Source organism: Homo sapiens, chromosome 3 (genome assembly GCF_000001405.40).
Source record: "Homo sapiens chromosome 3, GRCh38.p14 Primary Assembly".
Classification (NCBI taxonomy): domain Eukaryota; kingdom Metazoa; phylum Chordata; class Mammalia; order Primates; family Hominidae; genus Homo; species Homo sapiens.
In genome coordinates this window covers 154,942,851-154,962,486 of record NC_000003.12, presented here as the reverse complement: position 1 = coordinate 154,962,486, position 19,636 = coordinate 154,942,851, and the positions used below count along the sequence as shown (strand labels likewise).

General features: G+C 38.5%; 1 long non-coding RNA gene across 1 annotated transcript in view; it reads left to right on the top strand.

Moving 5' to 3' along the window:
* The window catches only part of LOC105374171 (uncharacterized), a 71,200-nt gene that overhangs the window by 7,779 nt on the left and 43,785 nt on the right, over positions 1-19,636 (top strand). The window contains exons 2-3 of the long non-coding RNA XR_001740568.2: positions 5,388-5,548; positions 6,881-6,974. This is a non-coding gene — a long non-coding RNA (uncharacterized LOC105374171). The remainder of the gene's footprint in view (positions 1-5,387; positions 5,549-6,880; positions 6,975-19,636) is intronic.

The window sequence follows — 19,636 nt, the reverse complement described above, 5'->3', positions numbered from 1 at the left end:
TTATTCTTACAATTTCAAATTCACTATATTTCCCAGAGGTTTACCTCACAGAGAATGGAGCATTTTGCAGTTAAACTTGCCTAGTGGCTGAAATTGTTCAAAGCAATTTGTCCAAGGTTGCACCTGAATTAATGTGGTGAATGGATTATATATTACGTTACTTTTTAAAATTCAGGACACAATGCAACCTTTTCATTTATTCAGGACCAGCATTAAGGTATAAAAAGAGTAAATGATGTGACATATGATTTGAGGAGAAATGCTGAGAGACACCCTTTTCCATTTACTTTCCTTTTCTTCCTCCTCAGGGCCTAAACTTTCTCTCTTAGAAAGGCTTTGTGTCTAGAAGTACGAGGGCAGAATGCAAAGCAATGATTAAACTGTGACTTATCTGGGTAAATGTATTTATCAAATTACCTAGCAAGAACTTGGGGATGGTGGAGAAATGTTACCAAGTATTTATGAGATAGTGGAGGAGGAAAAAGCCCTAATTTTCTTGCTCCAATTTTCTTACCCATAATGTGTATGAGGAGTTGGAGAGCTTTATAGGGACACAAGGATTATTTAAGTGCCTGGCAAGCTTAGTTGGTAAAGCATGACACTCCTTTATTTATTTATTTATTTATTTATTTATTTATGTATTTATTGAGACAGGGTCTTGCTCTGTCACCCAGGCTGGAGTGCACTGGCGTGATCACTGTAGCCTCAACCTCCTTGGTTCAAGCTATCCTCCCGCTTCCTCAGTAGCTGAGACCAGAGGCATGAACCACCATACCCAGCTAATTTTCTATTTTATTTTGTTCTTAGTAGAGATAAGGTCTCACTATATTGCCGAGGCTGGTCTCCAACTCCTGAGGTCAAGTGATCCTCCCTCCTCAGCCTCCCAAAGTGCTGAGATTACAAGTATGAGCCACCATGCTCAGCCTCTTATTTTTACTTATGCAGCTGTAGAGAGATGAAGCCTCCTTGTCTGTCCATTGGATTCAATTCTTCTGGATACTTTTCTGCACCTCTCCATATTTGTTCCATTTCTTGGAATGCCCTTTCTGACCCAGGCCCCAGCTTCCTAATGAACTTCTTTCTATCTTCGAATCTCAGCTCAAATGCTGCTTGTTTCTTGAAATCTTCTCTGACTGATTCATTTCTTCCCTTCTGGAAGGAGTGTTTGCATATCTCCTTCCAGAGCATCATGTGTGTCTCCATTGTGGTTAGCTTTTCTTACAATGATTTGTTTGGGTCTCTTCCTTGCCATATTCTGAGCTAGCATAGGATCCCTTATTACTTTCTGGAGGACCTGGCAAAGTTATTCAATAAATGCAGAATAAATGCATTGCAGTTCTTGCTCTTGTGTGTTTCCCAAATTGTTTATCTTCTATATATGAAGTTAAATATTGCTAGATCATCTTCCATTTAAATACTTGTATTTTTTTGTTTATTTTTTAGTTATGCTTTTTTTTACCACTAGTTTGTCACATTCTTTATAAAATAAAAATTATATGTGTAGAGTATGATATTATATTCATCACTGTCCTCCAATCCTCCAATCCATTCTACCCCATGCCCCTTCCTTATCTTTCCCAGAACAGGTAACTGATGGCTGTCCCTTGCTTGACAGAGAAAGAAACAGCTATCCACTTGAAAACCCACAACTCCTAACCTTTTTCACTGATCAGGTTCTACTTCTCTCTACCTTACAAGAGATTCTTAATTCAACATGTCCTTCATCTCATTTATTCTGTATATATTGGGCTATTACTGTGCTGAGTTTCTCCCCCTTTATGTATCTTCAACCACTCCAGTGAATTCTTCCCCTCAGCAGGTAGATACATCTCAAATCTCTTTAAATAAAAAAAACTATCTCTTAACTCACACATGTTCCAATATCTCTGTCCTTCCTCCTTCTCTATGCAATAAAACAATAGTTACCCACAATCTTAATCTCACTTTCTATTGACTCCTGAAACTAATGCATCACCCATGATCATTGCTAAGGCCAATATTCATTTCAGTCTTTAATCTTACTTTTACTCTCAGCTGCATTCGACTATTTTGAGCATGGTCTTATTTTTGGAACTTTCTTCCTCCTGGATGTTTTATACATCCATGTCCCTTTGTGATTTTCTACTTACAAATTGCCAGCCAATCTTTTGAGTCAACTCGATGAGCTCCTCTTTTCCTACTTGCTGCTTAAGTGTTAATATTTTCCAAGGTTCTGTTATTGACTTTCTTCTCTTCTCACTTTGCATACCCTCCACAGGTAGTTTTCTTCATACATGCAACATCAGCTATCAACTATGCTGAAGTTGGTGCTGAAATTGGTATACCCAAATGTCTGCATCCAGTCCAAATAAAACTCTGAATTCCCAAGTCCCCAATATGTGACTTGGGAGTCATTCTTTACCTTTTCCCTTTTTTCATCTCTCATATCTAATGTTTCACAGCTGATGAGGAGATGGAAGCTGAAGCCAAATAGTTTCCTTCTCCCCACATTTTCCTCCCAAAGGAAAGTTGAAGAGCATTCCCTTGTGTACTCCCTTGTAGGAGAAATATTGCCAAAAGTTGCTTAGGTTCAGGAGCATATATTTAGCATTGGCCTTGTGAGGCCAGTGTACAGCGGTAAAGTCTTTCGAGGATGCATTCTTCCCTCAGGACTGTAGGCTCCCTGGAAGATCCCCCATACAGCATTCATTTGTCTCATCTTCTGTCCTCTCCTTTACACTCCCATGCCTTTCCTCTTTCTTCTCTTTCCTTCTTTTCCTCCCTTCTCCCATCCCATCCCATAGGTGTGAACTTTCTGCATTTTGAAGAAAGATTTGTATTTTTGGGTGGACTAGACAGATCTTTCATTCTGCTTTTCTTGTCGATTTTTAAGATTGAATTTGCCTAGCAAAAGAAACTTCTTTTGAAAACAGATAATTCATAAGACCTCTTGATATGGTTTGGCACTGTGCCCCACCCAAATCTCATGTCGAATTTTAATTCCCAATGTTGGAGGAGGGACCTGGTGGGAAGTGATTGGATCATGGGGGCAGATTTCCTCCTTACTGTTCTTGTGATAGTGAATGAGTTTTCACAAGATCTGGTTGTTTAAAAGTATGTAGCACTTCCCCCTTCACTCTCTCTCTCCTGCTCTGGTCATAGTAAGACATGCTTGCTTCCCTTTCACCTTCTGCCATGATTGTAAGTTTCCTGAGACCTCCAAGCCATGCTTCCTGTACAGCCTGCAGAACTGTGAGTCAATTAAACCTCTTTTCTTCATAAATTACCCAGTCTCAAGTAGTTCTTTATAGCAGCGTGAGAGCAGATGAACACTGAAAACTGGTACCAGAGAAGTGAGGCATTGCTAGAAAGATACCTGAAAATGTGGAAGCAACTTTGGAACTGGGTAATGGGCAGAGGTTGAAACAGTTTGGAAGGCTCAGAAGAAGACAAGAAGATGAGGGAAAGTTTGAAAAATTTGCAACCTGACCATTTGGGAGGAAAGAAAACCCATTTTCCGGGGGTGGATTCAAGTAAAGAAGAACAGAATGTTAATAGCCAAAAAAATGGGGAAAATGCCTCAAGACATTTCAGAGACCTTCATGGTAGCCTCTGCCATCACAGCCCTGGAGGCCTAGGAGGCAAAAAAAAAAAAAATGGTTTCATGGGCCAGGCTCAGGGTCTCGCTGCTCTGGGCAGGCTCTGGACATGGCGCCCTGCATTGTGGCTGCTTCAGCTCCAGCCGTAGCTAAAAGGGGCCAAGGTACAGCTTGGACTGTTGCTTCAGAGGGTGCAAACCCCAAGCCTTGGCAGCTTCTATGTGGTGTTGGGCCTGCGGCTGTGCAGAAGACAAAAATTGAGCTTTGGGAGCCTCTGCCTAGATTTCAGAAGATGTATGAAAATGCCTGGATGACCAGGCAGAAATCTGCTGCAAGGGTGGAGCCCTTATGGAGAACCTCTACCAGGGCAGTGTGGAGGGGAAATGTGGGGTTGGAGCCCCCACACAGAGTCCCCACTGAGGCACTGCCTAGTGGAGCTTTGAGAAAGCTGCCATCCTCTAGACCCCAGGATAGTAGATCCACTGACAGCTTGTGCTGTGCACCTGGAAAAACTGCAGTCACTCAATGCCAGCCTGTGAAAGCAGCCATGAAGGCTATACCCTGCAGAGTCAATGAAGCAGAGATGCACAAGGCCTTGGGAGCCCACCCTTTGCATCACTGTGGCCTGGATGTGAGACAATGAGTCAAAGGAGATAATTTTGGAACTTTAAGATTTTATGACTGTCCTGCTGGGTTTCAGACTTGCATGGGACCTATAGCATCTTTGTTTTGGCCTATTTCTCCCTTTTGGAATGGCGGCATTTACCCTATGCATGTATGCACATTGTATCTCGGAAGTAACTAACTTCTTTTTGATTTTACAGGCTCATAGGCAGAAGGGACTTGCCTTGTCTCAGATGAGACTTTGGACTTGGACTTTTGAGTTAATGCTGGAATGAGATATGACTTTGGGGGACTGTTGAGAAGGCATGATTGTGTTTTGAAATGTGAAAAGGACATGAGATTTGGGAGGGGCCAGGAGCAGAATGATATGGTTTGACTCTATGTCCCCACCCAAATCTCATGTAGTTGAATTGTAATCCCCAGTGTTGGGGAAAGGACCTGGTGGGAAGTGATTGGCTCATGGGGGCAAACATCCCCCTTGCTGTTCTTGTGATAATAAGTTCTCATGAGATCTGGTTGTTTAAAACTGTGTAGCACTTCCCCCTTTGCTGTCTCTCTCTCCTGCTCCCATCATGTAAGACATGCTTGCTTCCCCTTCACCTTCCACCATAATCATAAGTTTCCTGAGGCCTCCGTACCCATGCCTACTGTACAGGCTGTGGAACATTGAGTCAATTAATCTTCTTTTCTTCATAAATTACCCTGTCTCAGGTAGCTCTTTATAGCAGTGTGGGAATGGACTAATACACATCTCTATTGGTTTTTGAGTCAAATTCTTCAGATAGAAAAAAAATGGGTCAATTTTACTTTGCTTTTTTTTCTGTGTCTATATTTTTTTCTGGGAACCATGTGGAGAGGTAAGTCCCAAAAACAGGATTCAATTAATCATGGATCTCTGGTCAGTATAATTTTAATTTCACTATCTTTCTCCTTTTACCAGCAGCCACCAACTATTTTTGATTCTATATTCTAGCTATTTCAAAATTCTCTCTTTGGTAGATTATAAAAATGATCACTTTTTTTGATAGCCATTTCATCAAGAGATACAGTCTATTTTTCCATTCTTTAATTCTGGGCTGGCTTGGTGACATGCTTTGGCTCAGAGAATGAGACTGACACACAACAGTGTGCATTCTGAGGCTGGATCTCAAGAGGCCTTGCATATTTCTTCTTGATCTCTTGTAGCCTTCACTGTATGAACAATGCCTGATCATTCTTCCAGAGGATGAGAAACCAAAGGGATCAAAAAGGAGCTGTTCCAGCTGAGCCCTTTAGCTTAGCCAGCTCCCACCTGACCAGCTATTAATAGTCGACCAGAGATGTATGAATCAGCAAGTTGAGATCAGGTGAGCCTGGCCCAGATCAGCAGAATTCCAATGAAGCCCAAACCATACTGATGGCCTGCAGACTCTTAAGCTAAATCAGGGTTTCTCAACCTTGGTAATATTGACATTTTGGACTGAATAATTCTTGGGGAGGAGTGGTACTTTCCTGTGCATCATAAAATGTTTAGCAGCATGCCTGGCTTCTAATAACTAGATGACCACAGCATCCTCACCCCCACTGTGACAACCAAAAATGTCTTTAGACATTGCCAAATGTCCCACCCACTTCCCCACTTCACTGGTTGAGGACCAATCAGCTAAATAAGTGGTAGTTGTTTTAAATCTGTAAGTTTTGTGGGTTTTTTTTGTATACAAAATGCTAATTAATACAGATCCCTTTTTTCTAGCTCTACTGACATTTTCTTACATTTGGTTCCTATAACTTTGCTTTGACTAAATTTTTGCCAGCTGCCTAACTAGTCTTTCTATTAATACTTGGGTTTACTCCTGTAACCCACTTCACACATTTCCATTAGTAGTTAAGCAAATAAACACACAAACACAAATCATATCACTGCAGTAGGACCTCATAACCTGCTTGGCAGAATTCCAAACTCCTGACATAAAAGGTCCTTTATCATTCAGTTTCCACTACAAACCATATGAGGAAGTTTGTATATGCCCCTAAAAAGAATGTTGTTGAATTTTAAAGTTGTTAGGAGCAGATTCTAGTATAGTAGATATTTCCTATTTTATTGAGTATTCATTACGCTGTTTTCCCTTGATCTGGGAAAAAATCCCATATCCTTTTTGGGAAATTATCTCTTCACTGTGTGCAAGATTAAGAAGCCTGTCAATCAAAGTATCTTGACTTTTTCTAACCAAGGGGATGGAAACACAACTTTAGGTACGTTAAATAGCATCTGCTCTAGGATGCAGACTCTTGGAGAATGATGCAAAACCCTAAACAATGATAGGTGTGCCCTTATCCTGTGGTAGCCAATTCACTCCTGTATAATAGTCTAATTTCTGATTCCCCAGTTTGTGTTATTTTTTTTTAAGCCTATTGTAGGCTTTTTCACCTGTACTGGCTGTGATCCTCTCAATATATTCCCTTTTTGGTAATATTATTCAGAGTTTTTTCTGCAATCTTAATTGATCACTCTCACAATAGAAAACAACAAAAACCTGAGTAAAGCAAGAATAAATAACAATGACCAATGTGTCTTTTATGACCTTAGATAAAGTGTGCATTAGTTTTCAAACTAAAATTAGTAGTTATCTTTTAAAAGTATAGTTTAACCATGAATTTATCATAAAATGTTATGGCGAGCTAACTGAATCCTTTTTTAGTCCAAAGGAAAGTTGGATGGCCATGAAACCAATAACTTGGTAGTAGAGACATCAATGGGTCTATAAGTCTGTGACTACGTATGCCAAATTTTTGGTATGTATTGCATTCCTTATTATTTAAGTCAATATATATGAACTAAATCTGATTGTTTGAGGTTTTGTGTGTAATATTTTCTCTTAAATATTTTGTAATATTGACAATAATATCATTTCCTTAAAATAACATTAAATTAATTTTAATATATTTCATAATATATACCTTTGACTAAATCAGTGTGGATTTCTCCCATTCCAGCCCTAATTAATGAAATTCTATTATATTTTTGCTATATCTATCTATAGAAGAAGGAAAAATAATTTTCTCTTAACCCTTAGTCTAGCCTCCTTCATTTCTAGCTAGCTATCTAGCTATCAATCAATCAATCGTATATCGAGGAATCAATTTCCTAGATGCTCCAAGTATTTATAAACCTTATCTTGCATGCCAGAAGTGGGGGAATCAGGTAGCTTAGAGTTTATTTATGCTCTATGCCACTTCTGTTTTATATGCATACTTACAAGCAGAAGACATGTTATAAATGTTCTTCTTCTGACTCTGAGACTCCATTATACTTGCTTAGGTTCTTGAGAAACAGGAGGATGCCCTCTTGAGGTAGTTATTAGCGCTGTACTCTTAAATGTATCCCCTGTCTCCTGTTCTAGGCACATGGTATCATACTTTTCATCCTCATTGTGTCTGAGTGAGGCCCTGTGATTGGTTCTGAATAATAAGTTATGAGCAAAAGTAGCACATGATATTTCCAGGGAAATCATTTAATAGCCAAGGCAAGAACCTTCATAATTCTTTTCTCTCTAATTTTTAATGTTTGAGATGGTGAGTGTTCCCTGAATGATTATGAGCAGAGTAGGTGAATGTATAGATTGAACAAGAAACAAGACTTGATTACTTTAAGTCAATAAGATTTTGTCACTGCAGCATAATGTAGCTTTTCTTGCCTGATAATATCTTTATTTCTGCAAAGTAATTCTTCAGAAATCTGCCTTTTCTCCTAATGGTAAATTTGTTTGGACAAGTAAGAAGATCATCTGAAGGCCCCCACTGATTCTTTAGCCAGTAGTCTAGAAGCTCAATCTTGGTCTTCTTTGGTATATTTGAAAGCACACCTAACCTGCCTTCCTACCTTTCTATCCACTTCCACAGGTTTATAAAGTCTCCTGAAATCTTGAAAATGTCTTAGACAAATGCCCATCATCTAAAACTCTATACCTAAAAAAGTACAATCGAGAAATTCTGCCCCCATCATCAACTTTTTTTTTTTTTTTTGGTTTTCAAAATCCTTTCCTTTTACCTAATAAAAGTTTCTCAAATTCCAGCCTGTTTTACCTCTTCTTGAAACAGGAGGGGAGATAATACTATTTATCTCCTTTTTTGACCCCCAATTTAATAAACATCCTTTCTTCCTCCTTCAGTCTTTTTATTTCTGTTAGCTCTCTATCAGTGTGACTTTGATCTTGATGCCTGACATGTGCTTTCACCTAGAGAAGGTGAAAGTAAAATGGGGATAGGGATTGGGGTAACAACAGGTGCTTTTTCTAACATTTTCTACTGAGGGCACAAAGCATGCCCTGATTTTTAAAAAATGCTGTTAGAATTGGTATTCACATGAACTCAGTTCTGATGTCATTTGTGACAGTTGGAGTGTGATAATCTGTAGGTTTTCTGATTCCAGTGAGGTTATATGCCTGCATATTGACAGGAAGGCTAAAGAAAGCCTCTTTTTCTACTCTTTCCATTTAGCTTGAGCTAAGTGACCCAACAGAGACCTATGAAAGCAGAGAGCAGAAGAGAAACAGGGTAGGGCTATGGGTCACACGTAGTGAATAGAGAAGGAGTGACATCAGTACGAAGTCTGTAGCTTAATAGTTTTCACTAACCACAGTGGCAGCTCTGAGATGAGTTTATTTTGAAAATTCAAGGTTGAAGCCTTTTTAATTCTGAGAAAGAGGAAATTTCTTCAGGATATGTTATTCGTTTCTTTATGGTTTGAGTTTAGTTTTGTTTCAATAGACACCTTTTATGAAGCACAAGACTTCTTTTTTTTTTTTAATTCTGGGAAAGGTGGGTATATAAATAAAATGAAATAGTTCCTATATCTCTTATTGACAGGTTAAATGGCTGGAAATGCTCAACTGAAAAACATTCTGGGGCTCTATTTTGGCTCAGTGGTGACAGAATAGCCATGATGGCCTAGGGCTTAGGAGCTTTAAATTTGTCATCCTTGTTGTAGGAAGTATGTGAGTAATAATCTCTTATATTCTTATACTTTAAGGAAGAAAAGGGAATATATTATTTTTTCTCAAAATATAATATTTTTTCTTTAAAGTCTTCAGAGAAAGAGCTCTCTGGACATTGGACATTCTCATTTCTTACAAGTTTTTAAAATTTTGTTTTAAATTGACAAATTAAAACTGTACCTATTCATGGGGTACATAGTAATATTTCAATTAACTTCATTTAACATAATGTCCTCCCACTTTATCCATGTTGTAAAGAATAACAGAATTTCATTAATTTCTATGTCTGAATAGTATTCCATTGTGTATACATACCACATTTTCTTTATCCATTCGTCTGTTACTGGACACCTATGTTGATTTCTAATCTCGGCTATTACGAATAGTGCCGCCATAACATGGGAGTTTAGATGTCTCTCTGATATAATTATTTTTTTCTCAGAGAGAAATATTTAATAGGGACTTATAAATCATATTTTTGGCAGTTGCAAGATGAGCCGGTGGATCCCCAACCATTATGTTATAATTATTTCCTTTCCTTTGGATAAATGCCCAGCCCTGGGATTGCTGGATCATATGGTAGTTCTATTGGTCATTTTTGAGGAACTTTTATCCTGCTCGCCATAGTGATTGTACTAGCTTATATTCCCACAAACAGTGTTTTAAGAGTTCCCTATTCGCTGCATCCTCACCAGCATTTTAAAATTTTTTTGTTGTTTTGATAATAGCCATTCTAACTGGGGTGAAATAATACCTCATTGAGGTTTTGATTTGCATTTCCCTGATGACTGGTGATGTTAAGCATTTTAAAATATATTTGTTGACCATTTGTTTGTTTTATTTTGAGAAATATCTATTCAGATCACTTGCCCATTTAAAAATCATATTGTTTGCTTTTCTTGGTGTTGCAATGTTGGAGCTCATTGTATGTTCTGGATATGAATCCTTTGTCAGATGAGTAGTTTGCAAATATTTTCTCCCATTCTGTAGATTGCCTTTTTACTTTGTTGATTGTTTGTTTTGCTGTATAGAAGCTTTTTAGTTTGACATAATTCCATTTGTTTAATTTTGTTTTTGTTGCCTATGCTTTTGAGGACTTCTTCCCAAAACATTTTCTAGACTGATGTTCTGAGTCATTTCTAGTGTGTTTTCTTCTAGTAGTTTTTTTGTTTCAGGTCTTACATTTAGATCTTTGGGCCATTTGAGTTGTTTTTTTAATAGGATGAGAGTTGTGGTTCTAGTTTTTCTGCCTATAAATATCCATTTCTTAGCACCATTTATTGAAGAGACTGACTATTCCCCAGTAGGTGTTTTTGGGACCTTTATCAAATATCAATTGATTGTAGATATATGGATTAATTTCTGGGTTCTCTATTTTGTTCCATTGGTCTATGTGCCTGTTTTTATGCCAGTACCATGCTGTTTTGGTTACTATAGCTTTGTAGTATACTTCAGATCTGGTAGTGTGATATCTCCAGCTTTGTTCTCTTTGGTCAGGATTGCTTTGGCTCTTTGAGATCTTTTGTGGTTCTATACAAATTTTAGAAATTTTTCTATTCCTGTGAAGAATGTCATTGACATTTTGATAGAGATTACATTAAATCTGTAGATTGCTTTGGGTAGTATTGTCATTTCAACAATATTGATTCCTCTGATCCATGAGCATGGGATGTCTTTCCATTTGTTTGTATCCTCTTTAATTTCTTTCATCATTGTCTCATAGTTATCCTTGTATATGTCCTTCATCTCATTTGTTAAATATATTCCTAGGTATTTTATTTTTCTGTAGGTATTGCAAGTGGGATTGCCTTCTTGACCTCTTTTTCAGCTAGTTCATTGTTTGTGTACAAAAATGCTACTGATTTTTGTATATTAATTTTATACCTTGCAACTTTATTTAATGTGCTTATTGGTTCTAAGTTGCTGGGGGTTTTTTTTGTAGAGTCTTTAGGGTTTTCTTTTCTTTTTTTTGCTTCACTTTATTTATTTATTTATTTATTTATTTATTTATATTACACTATAAGTTCTAGGGTACATGTGCGCAACGTGCAGGCTCGTTACATAGGTATACATGTGCCAGGCTGGCCCACTGCACCCATCAACCCATCATTTACATTAGGTATTTCTCCCAATGCTGTCCCTCCCCGCTGTCCCTCACCCCACAAAAGGCCCCAGTGTGTGATGTTCCCCATCCTGTGTCCAAGTGTTCTCATTGTTCAATTCCCACCTATGAGTGAGAACACGCAGTCTTTGGTTTTCTGTCCTTGTGATAGTTTGCTCAGAATGATGGTTTCCAGCTTCATCCATGTCCCTACAAAGGACATGAACTCATCATTTTTTATGGCTGCATAATATTCCACGGTGTATATGTGCCACATTTTCTTAATCCAGTCTATCATTGATGGACATTTGGGTTGGTTCCAAATCTTTGCTATTGTGAACAGTGTCACAATAAACATATGTGTGCATGTGTCTTTATAGCAGCATGATTTATAATCCTTTGGATATATACCCAGTAATGGGATCACTGGGTCAAATGGTATTTCTAGCTCTAGATCCTTGAGGAATCGTCACACTGTCTTCCACAATGGTTGAACTAGTTTACATGCCCACCAACAGTGTAAAAGCGTTCCTATTTTTCCACATCCTCTCTAGCATCTGTTGTTTCCTGACTTTTTAATGATCGCCATTCTAACTGGTGTGAGACGGTATCTCCTTGTGGTTTTTATTTGCATTTATCTAATGACCAGTGATAAGGAGCATTTTTTCATGTGTCTGTTCACTGAATAAATGCCTTCTTTTGAGAAGTGTCTGTTCATATCCTTCACCCACTTGTTGATGGGGTTTTTTGTTTTTTTTCTTATAAATTTGTTTTTAAGTTCTTTGTAGATTCTAGATATTAGCCCTTTGTCAGATGGGTGGATTGCAAAAATTTTCTGCCATTCTGTAGGTTGCCTGTTCACTGTGATGGTAGTTTCTTTTGCTGTGCAGAAGCTCTTTAGTTTAATTAGATCCCATTTGTCAATTTTGGCTTTTGTTGCCATTGCTTTTGGTGTTTTAGTCATGAAGTCCTTGTTCATGCCTATGTCCTGAATGGTATTGCCTAGGTTTTCTTCTAGGGTTTTTGTGGTTTTATGTCTAACATTTAAGTCTTTAATCCATCTTGAATTAATTTTTGTATAAGGTGTAAGGAAGTGATCCACTTTCAGCTTTCTACATATGGCTAGCCAGTTTTCCCAGCACCATTTATTAAATAGGGAATCCTTTCCCCATTTCTTGTTTTTGTCAGGTTTGTCAAAGATCAGATAGTTGTAGATGTGTGGTATTATTTCTGAGGTGTCTGTTCTGTTCCATTGATCTATATATATGTCTTGGTACCACTACCATGCTGTTTTGGTTACTGTAGCCTTGTAGTATAGTTTGAAGTCAGGTAGCGTGTTGCCTCCAGCTTTGTTCTTTTTGCTTAGGATTGACTTGGCAATGTGGGCTCTTTTTGGTTCCATATGAACTTTAAAATAGTTTTTTCCAAGTCTGTGAAGAAAGTCATTTGTAGCTTGATGGGGATGTCATTGAATCTATAAATTACCTTGAGCAGTATGGCCATTTTCACAATATTGATTCTTCCCATCCATAAGCATGGAATGTTCTTCCATTTGTTTGTGTCTTCTTTTATTTCATTCAGCAGTGGTTTGTAGTTCTCCTTGAAGAGTTCCTTCACACCCCTTGTAAGTTGGATTCCTAGGTATTTTATTCTCTTTGGAGCAATTGTGAATGGGAGTTTACTCCTGATTTGGCTCTCTGTTTGTTGGTTATTGGGGTATAGAAATTCTTGTGATTTTTGCACATTCATTTTTTATCCTGAGACTTTGCTGAAGTTGCTTGTCAGCTTAAGGAGATTTTGGGCTGAGACGATGGGGTTTTCTAAATATACAATCATGTCATCTGCAGACAGAGACAATTTGACTTCCTCTTTTCCTAATTGAATGGCCTTTATTTCTTTCTCCTACCTGATTGCCCTGGCCAGAACTTCCAACACTATGTTGAATAGGAGTGATGAGAGAGGGCATCCCCATCTTGTGCCAGTTTTCAAAGGGAATGCTTTCAGTTTTTGCCCATTCAGTATGATATTGGCTGTGGTTTGTCATAAACAGCTCTTATTGTTTTGCGATACATTCCATAAATACCTAGTTTATTGAGAGTTTTTAGCATGATGGGCTGTTGAATTTTGTTGAAGGCCTTTTTTGCATCTATTGAGATAATCATGTGGTTCTTGATGATGGTTCTGTTTATGTGATGGATTACGTTTATTGATTTGCGTATGTTGAAGCAGCCTTTCATCCCAGGGATGAAGCCCACTTGATCATGGTGGCTCAGCTTTTTGAAGTGCTACTGGATTCGGTTTGCCAGTGTTTTATTGAGGATTTTCACATTGATGTTCATCAGGGATTTTGGTCTAAAATTCTCTTTTTTGTGTGTGTGTCTCCACCAGGCTTTGGTATCAGGATGATGCTGGCCTCATAAAAAGAGTTAGGGAGGATTCCCTCTTTTTCTATTGATTGGAATAGTTTCAGAAGGAATGGTACCAGCTCCTCTTTGTACCTCTGGTAGAACTCGGCTGTGAATCCACCTGGTCCTTGACTTTTCTTGGTTGGTAGCCTATTAATTACTGCCTCAATTTCAGAGCCTGTTATTGGTCTATTCAGAGATTCAATTTCTTCCTGGTTTAGTCTTGGGAGGGTGTGTGTGTCCAGGAATTTGCCCGTTTCTTCTAGATTTCCTAGTTTATTTGTGTAGAGGTATTTATAATATTCTCTGATGGTAGTTTGTATTTCTGTGGGATCGGTGGTGATATCCCCTTTATCATTTTTTATTGCATCTATTTGATTCTTCTCTCTTTTCTTCTTTATTAGTCTTGCTAGCGGTCTATCAATTTTGATTTTCAAAAAACGAGCTCCTGGATTCATTGATTTTTTTGAAGGGGTTTTTGTGTCTCTGTCTCCTCCAGTTCTGCTCTGATCTTAGTTATTTCTTGCCTTCTGCTAGCTTTTGAATGTGTTTGCTCTTGCTTCTCTAGTTCTTTTAATTGTGATGCGAGGGTGTCAATTTTAGATCTTTCCCGCTTTCTCTTGTGGGCATTTAGTGCTATAAATTTCCCTCTACACACTGGTTTCAATGTGTCCTAGAGATTCTGGTATGTTGTGTCTTTGTTCTCATTGGTTTCAAAGAACATCTTTATTTCTGCCTTCATTTCGTTATGTACCCAGTAGTCATTCAGGAGCAGGTTGTTCAGTTTCCATGTATTTGTGCAGTTTTGAGTGAGTTTCTTAATCCTGAGTTCTAATTTGATTGCACTGTGGTCTGAGAGACAGTTTGTTGTGATTTCTGTTCTTTCACATTTGCTGAGGAGTGCTTTATTTCCAACTATGAGGTCAATTTTGGAATAAGTGTGATGTGGTGCTGAGAAGAATGTATGTTCTGTTGATTTGGGGTGGAGAGTTCTGTAAATATCTATTAGGTCCGCTTGGTGCAGAGCTGAGTTCAATTCCTGGATATCCTTTTTAACCTTCTGTCTCGTTGATCCGTCTACTATTGACAGTGGGGTGTTAAAGTCTTCCAATATTATTGTGTGGGAGTCTAAGTCTCTTTGTAGGTCTGTAAGGACTTGCTTTATGAATCTGGGTTCTCCTGTATTGGCTGCATATATAGTTAGGATATTTAGCTCTTCTTGTTGAGTTGATCCCGTTACCATTATGTAATGGCCTTCTTTGTCTCTTTTGTTGGTTTAAAGTCTATTTTGTCAGAGACTAGGATTGCAACTCCTGCTTTTTTTTGCTTTCCATTTGCTTGGTAGATCTTCCTCCATCTCTTTATTTTGAGCCTATGTGTGTCTCTGCATGTGAGATGGGCCTCCTGAATACAGCACACTGATGGGTTTTGACTCTTTATCCAATTTGCCAGTCTATATCTTTTAATTGGGGCATTTAGCCCATTTACATTTAAGGTTAATATTGTTATGTATGAATTTGATCCTGCCATTATGACATTAGCTGGTTATATTTCCTGTTAGTTGATGCAGTCTCTTCCTAGCATCAAAGATGTTTACAATTTGGCATGTTTTTGCAGTGGCTGGTACCGGTTGTTTCTTTCCATGTTTAGTGCTTCCTTCAGGAGCTCTTGTAAGGCAGGCCTGGTGGTGAGAAAAATCTCTCAGCATTTGCTTGTCTGTAAAGGATTTTATTTCTCCTTCACTTATGGAGCTTAGTTTGGCTGGATATGAAATTCTGGGTTGAGAATTCTTTAAGAATGTTGAATATTGGCCCACAGTCTCTTTTAGCTTGTAGAGTTTCTGCCAAGAAATCCACTGTTAGTATAATGGGCTTCCGTTTGTCGGTAACCCGACCTTTCTCTCTGGCTGCCCTTAACATTTTTTTCCTTCATTTCAACCTTGGTGCATCTGAAAATTATGTGTCTTGGGGTTGCTCTTTTCAAGGAGTATCTTTGTGGTGTTCTCTGTATTTTCTGAATTTGAATGTTGGCCTGCGTTGTTAGGTTGGGGAAGTTCTCCTGGATAATATCTTGAAGAGTGTTTTCCTACTTGATTCCATTCTCCCCGTCACTTTCAGGTACACCAATCAAATGTAGATTTGGTGTTTTCACATAGTCCCATATTTCTTGGAGGCTTTGTTTGTTACTTTTTACTCTTTTTTCTCTCAACTTCTCTTCTCACTTTATTTCATTAATTTGATCTTCAGTCATTGATACCCTTTCTTCCCCTTGATCGAATCGGCTACTGAAGCTTGTGCATATGTCACATAGTTCTTGTGCCATGGTTTGCAGCTCCATCAGATCATTTAAGGTCATCTCTACACTGTTTATTCCAGTTAGCCATTGGTCTAATCTTTTTTCAAGGTTTTTAGCTTCCTTTTGATGGGTTTGAACATCCTCCTTTAGCTTGGAGAAGTTTATTACCAACCTTCTGAAGCTTACTTCTGTCAGCTCATCAAAGTCATTCTCCGTCCAGCTTTGTTCAATTGCTGGTGAGGAGCTTCGATACTTTGGAGGAGAAGAGGTGCTCTGGTTTTTAGAATTTTCAGCTCTGGTTTCTCCTCATCTTTGTGGTTTGATCTACCTTTGGTCTTTGATGTTGGTGGCCTACAGATGGGGTTTTGGTGTAGATGTCCTTTTTGTTGATGTTGATGCTATTCCTTTCTGTTTGCTAGTTTTCCTTCTGACAGTCACGTTCCTCAGCTAAAGGTCTGTTGGAGTTTGCTGGAGGTTCACTCCAGTCCCTGTTTGCCTGGGTATCACCAGCAGAGGCTGCAGAACAGCAAATATTGCAGAACAGCAAATATTGCTGCCTGATCCTTCCTCTGGAAGTTTCGTCCCAGAGGGGCACCTGCCTGTATGAGGTGTCAGTCGGCCCCTACTGGTGGGTGTCTCCCAGTTAGGCTACATGGTGGTCAGGGACCCACTTGAGGAGGCAGCCTGTCCATTCTCAGAGCTCAAACACTGTGCTGGGAGAACCATTGCTCTCTTCAGGGCTGTCAGACAGGGATGTTTAAGTCTGCAGAAGTTTCTGCTGCCTTTTATTCAGCTATGCCCTGCTCCCAGAGGTGGAAGCTACAGAGGCAATAGGTGTTGCTGAGCTTTGATGGGCTCCACCCAGTTTGACCTTCCCCTGCTAGCCACTTTGTTTACCTACTCAAGCTTCATCAATGGCAGATGCCCCTCCCCCAGCCAGGCTGCTGCCTCACAGTTTGATCTCAGACTGCTGCACTAGCAGTGAACAAGGATCCATGGGCGTGGGACCTTCCAAGCCATGTGTGGGATACAATCTCCTGGTGTGCCGTTTGCTAAGACCATTGGAAAAGCACAGTATTTGGGCAGGAGTACCCCGATTTTCCAGGTACAGTCTATCATGGCTTCCCTTGGCTAGGAAAGGGAAATCCCCCCACCCCTTGTGCTTCCAGGGTGAGGCAATGTCCTGCCCTGTTTCGGCTCACCCTCTATGGGCTGCATCCACTGTCCATCCCGTCCCAGTGAGATGAACCAGGTACTTCAGTTGGAAATGCAGAAATCACCCATCTTCTGTATCAATCACACTGGGAGCTGCAGACCGGGGCTGTTCCTATTTGGCCATCTTGGAACAGACTCCCCGTCTTTAGGTTTTTCTATATATAAGATCATGTCATCTGCAAACAGGGACAATTTGACTTCCTCCTTTACAATTTTGATGCCCTTTTTTTCTTTCTCTTGCTAACTGTGCTGGCTAGGGTTTCCAGTTCTATGTTATGTTCTATTAGTTTTTATAGGAAAAGATTTAGCTTTCCTCTATTCAGTAAGATGTTAGCTGTGGATTTTCCATATAAAGCCTTTAGTATGTTGAGCTTCTTTCCTTCTTGTGGGAAAGAGAGTTTCTGGTTGGTCTCCTCTGTGTGCGACACCCATGGAAAGCCATGGGTGGACTCTGAGGAGAAGTCTCCTTATTGCCTTCATGTCTTTATGCCCCAAGAGCATAACCACTCAGCGGCATTCCATAGGTTGCTCAGGGAGATAACGCTTCCTTGAAGCAGTGGAGTATAATCAAACATCTTGGCTCCTCCTGAAACCTGCTCCCACCCGTTTCAGTCCAGATAAGTTAAAGATCTTAAGTAGTTTATACACACGCCTTTGCTCAAGGAAATTCACAGAAACCACCACTGCTATACATTTTATCAAATAACTCACGAGTTCTCCTTCACTGATTAATCCATTTCCTCATCCCTTCCTCCCCCTCCCATCTGCCCTAAGAACAAAGAGCTTGTAAACCAATTAAACCAATAAATTGGGCAGAGCCTGAGAGCTCTGGGCTGTGAGCAAACCTCCGATGCTCTGGTCCCCTGGACCCACCTTTTAAACGCTTTTTCTGTCTCTTTCTAACTCCTTTGTCTCCACTGGACTCCGAGTACCCACTGGGTGGTGTGGGACTGGTTTCGCCAACACTTCTCTACCTAATTTATTAGTTTTTATTATGAAGGGATGTTGAATGTTATCAAAAGCTTTTTCTGCATCTATTAAGATGATCATATGGCTTTTGTTCTTCATTCCATTAATGTGATGTATGATGTGTATTGATTTGCATATGTTGACTCATGCTTGCTTTCCTGGGATAAATCCCACTTGATCATGGTGTATGATTAATTTGATGTGTTGTTGTATTTAGTTTGCTAAGATTTTGTTGAGAATTTTTATTTCTATGTTCATCAGATATTGGCCTGTAGTTTTCTTTTTATGTTGGATCCTAGTCTTCTTTTGCTAACAGGGTTATGCTAGCCTCATAGAATGAGTTAGGAAAAATTCCCTCTGTTTTAAAATAGTTTGAGAAGAATTAGTGTTAATTCTTTAAATGTTTAGTAGAATCCAATGGTAAAACCAGTCCTGGACTTTTTTTTGTTGGAAGACTTTTTATTATTGATTTAATCTCATTAATTGTTATTAATATTATATGTTTAGGTGTTCTATTTGTCTTGTTTCAATTTTGGTAGGTTGTATATGTCCATTAAGTTATCCATTTTCTCTTTATTTTTAAATTTACTGGTATATAGTAATCTCTAATGATCCTTCCTATTTCTATGTTATCTATTGAGATATGTCATTTTTTGTTTCTGATTTTTATTTATTTGAACCTTTTCTCTTTCTTAGTCTAGTTAATGGTTTGTCAATTTTGTTTATATTTTCAAAAACTACCCTTTTGTTTCATGAATCTTTTGTATTTTTTTACTCTCAGTTTTATTTATGTATGCTCTGATTTATATTATTTTTTTCCTTCTATTAATTCTGGGGTTCATTTGTTCTTGCTTTTCTAGTTCTTCAAGGCACATTGTTACACTGTTTATTTAAAATCTTTCTAGTTTTCTGATGTAGGCATATATTGCTATAAACTTACCTCTTAATACTGCTTTTGCTCCATAAGTTTTGGTATGTTATGCTTAAATTTTCATTGGTTTCAAAGAAGTTTTAAATGTTAGTCTTAATTTCTTTCTTTACCTATTGGTCATTAGGAGCCAGCTATTTAATTTCTATGTATTGGTATAGTTTTGAATGTTACTCTTGTTATTGGTGTCTAGTTTTATTCCATTGTGATCAGATAAGATACTTGGTATGGTCACAATTTTTAAAAATTTTGGAGACTTGTTTTATGTTCTAATATATGATCAGTCCTGGAGAAATGACCATATGTTAATTAAGCATTAATTAACATTAATGCTTAATTAACATATGTTAATTATGCTTGATTAACACATGTTAATTATGCTTGATTAACACATGTTAATTATGCTTAATTAACATATGGTCACCCAAGCAGCTGTTGAGTGAAATGTTCTGTAAATGTCTGTTAGGTCTATTTGGTCTATAGAGCAGATTAAATTCAATGTTTCCTTGTTGATTTTCTGTCTAGATGATTTGTCTAGTGCTGACAGT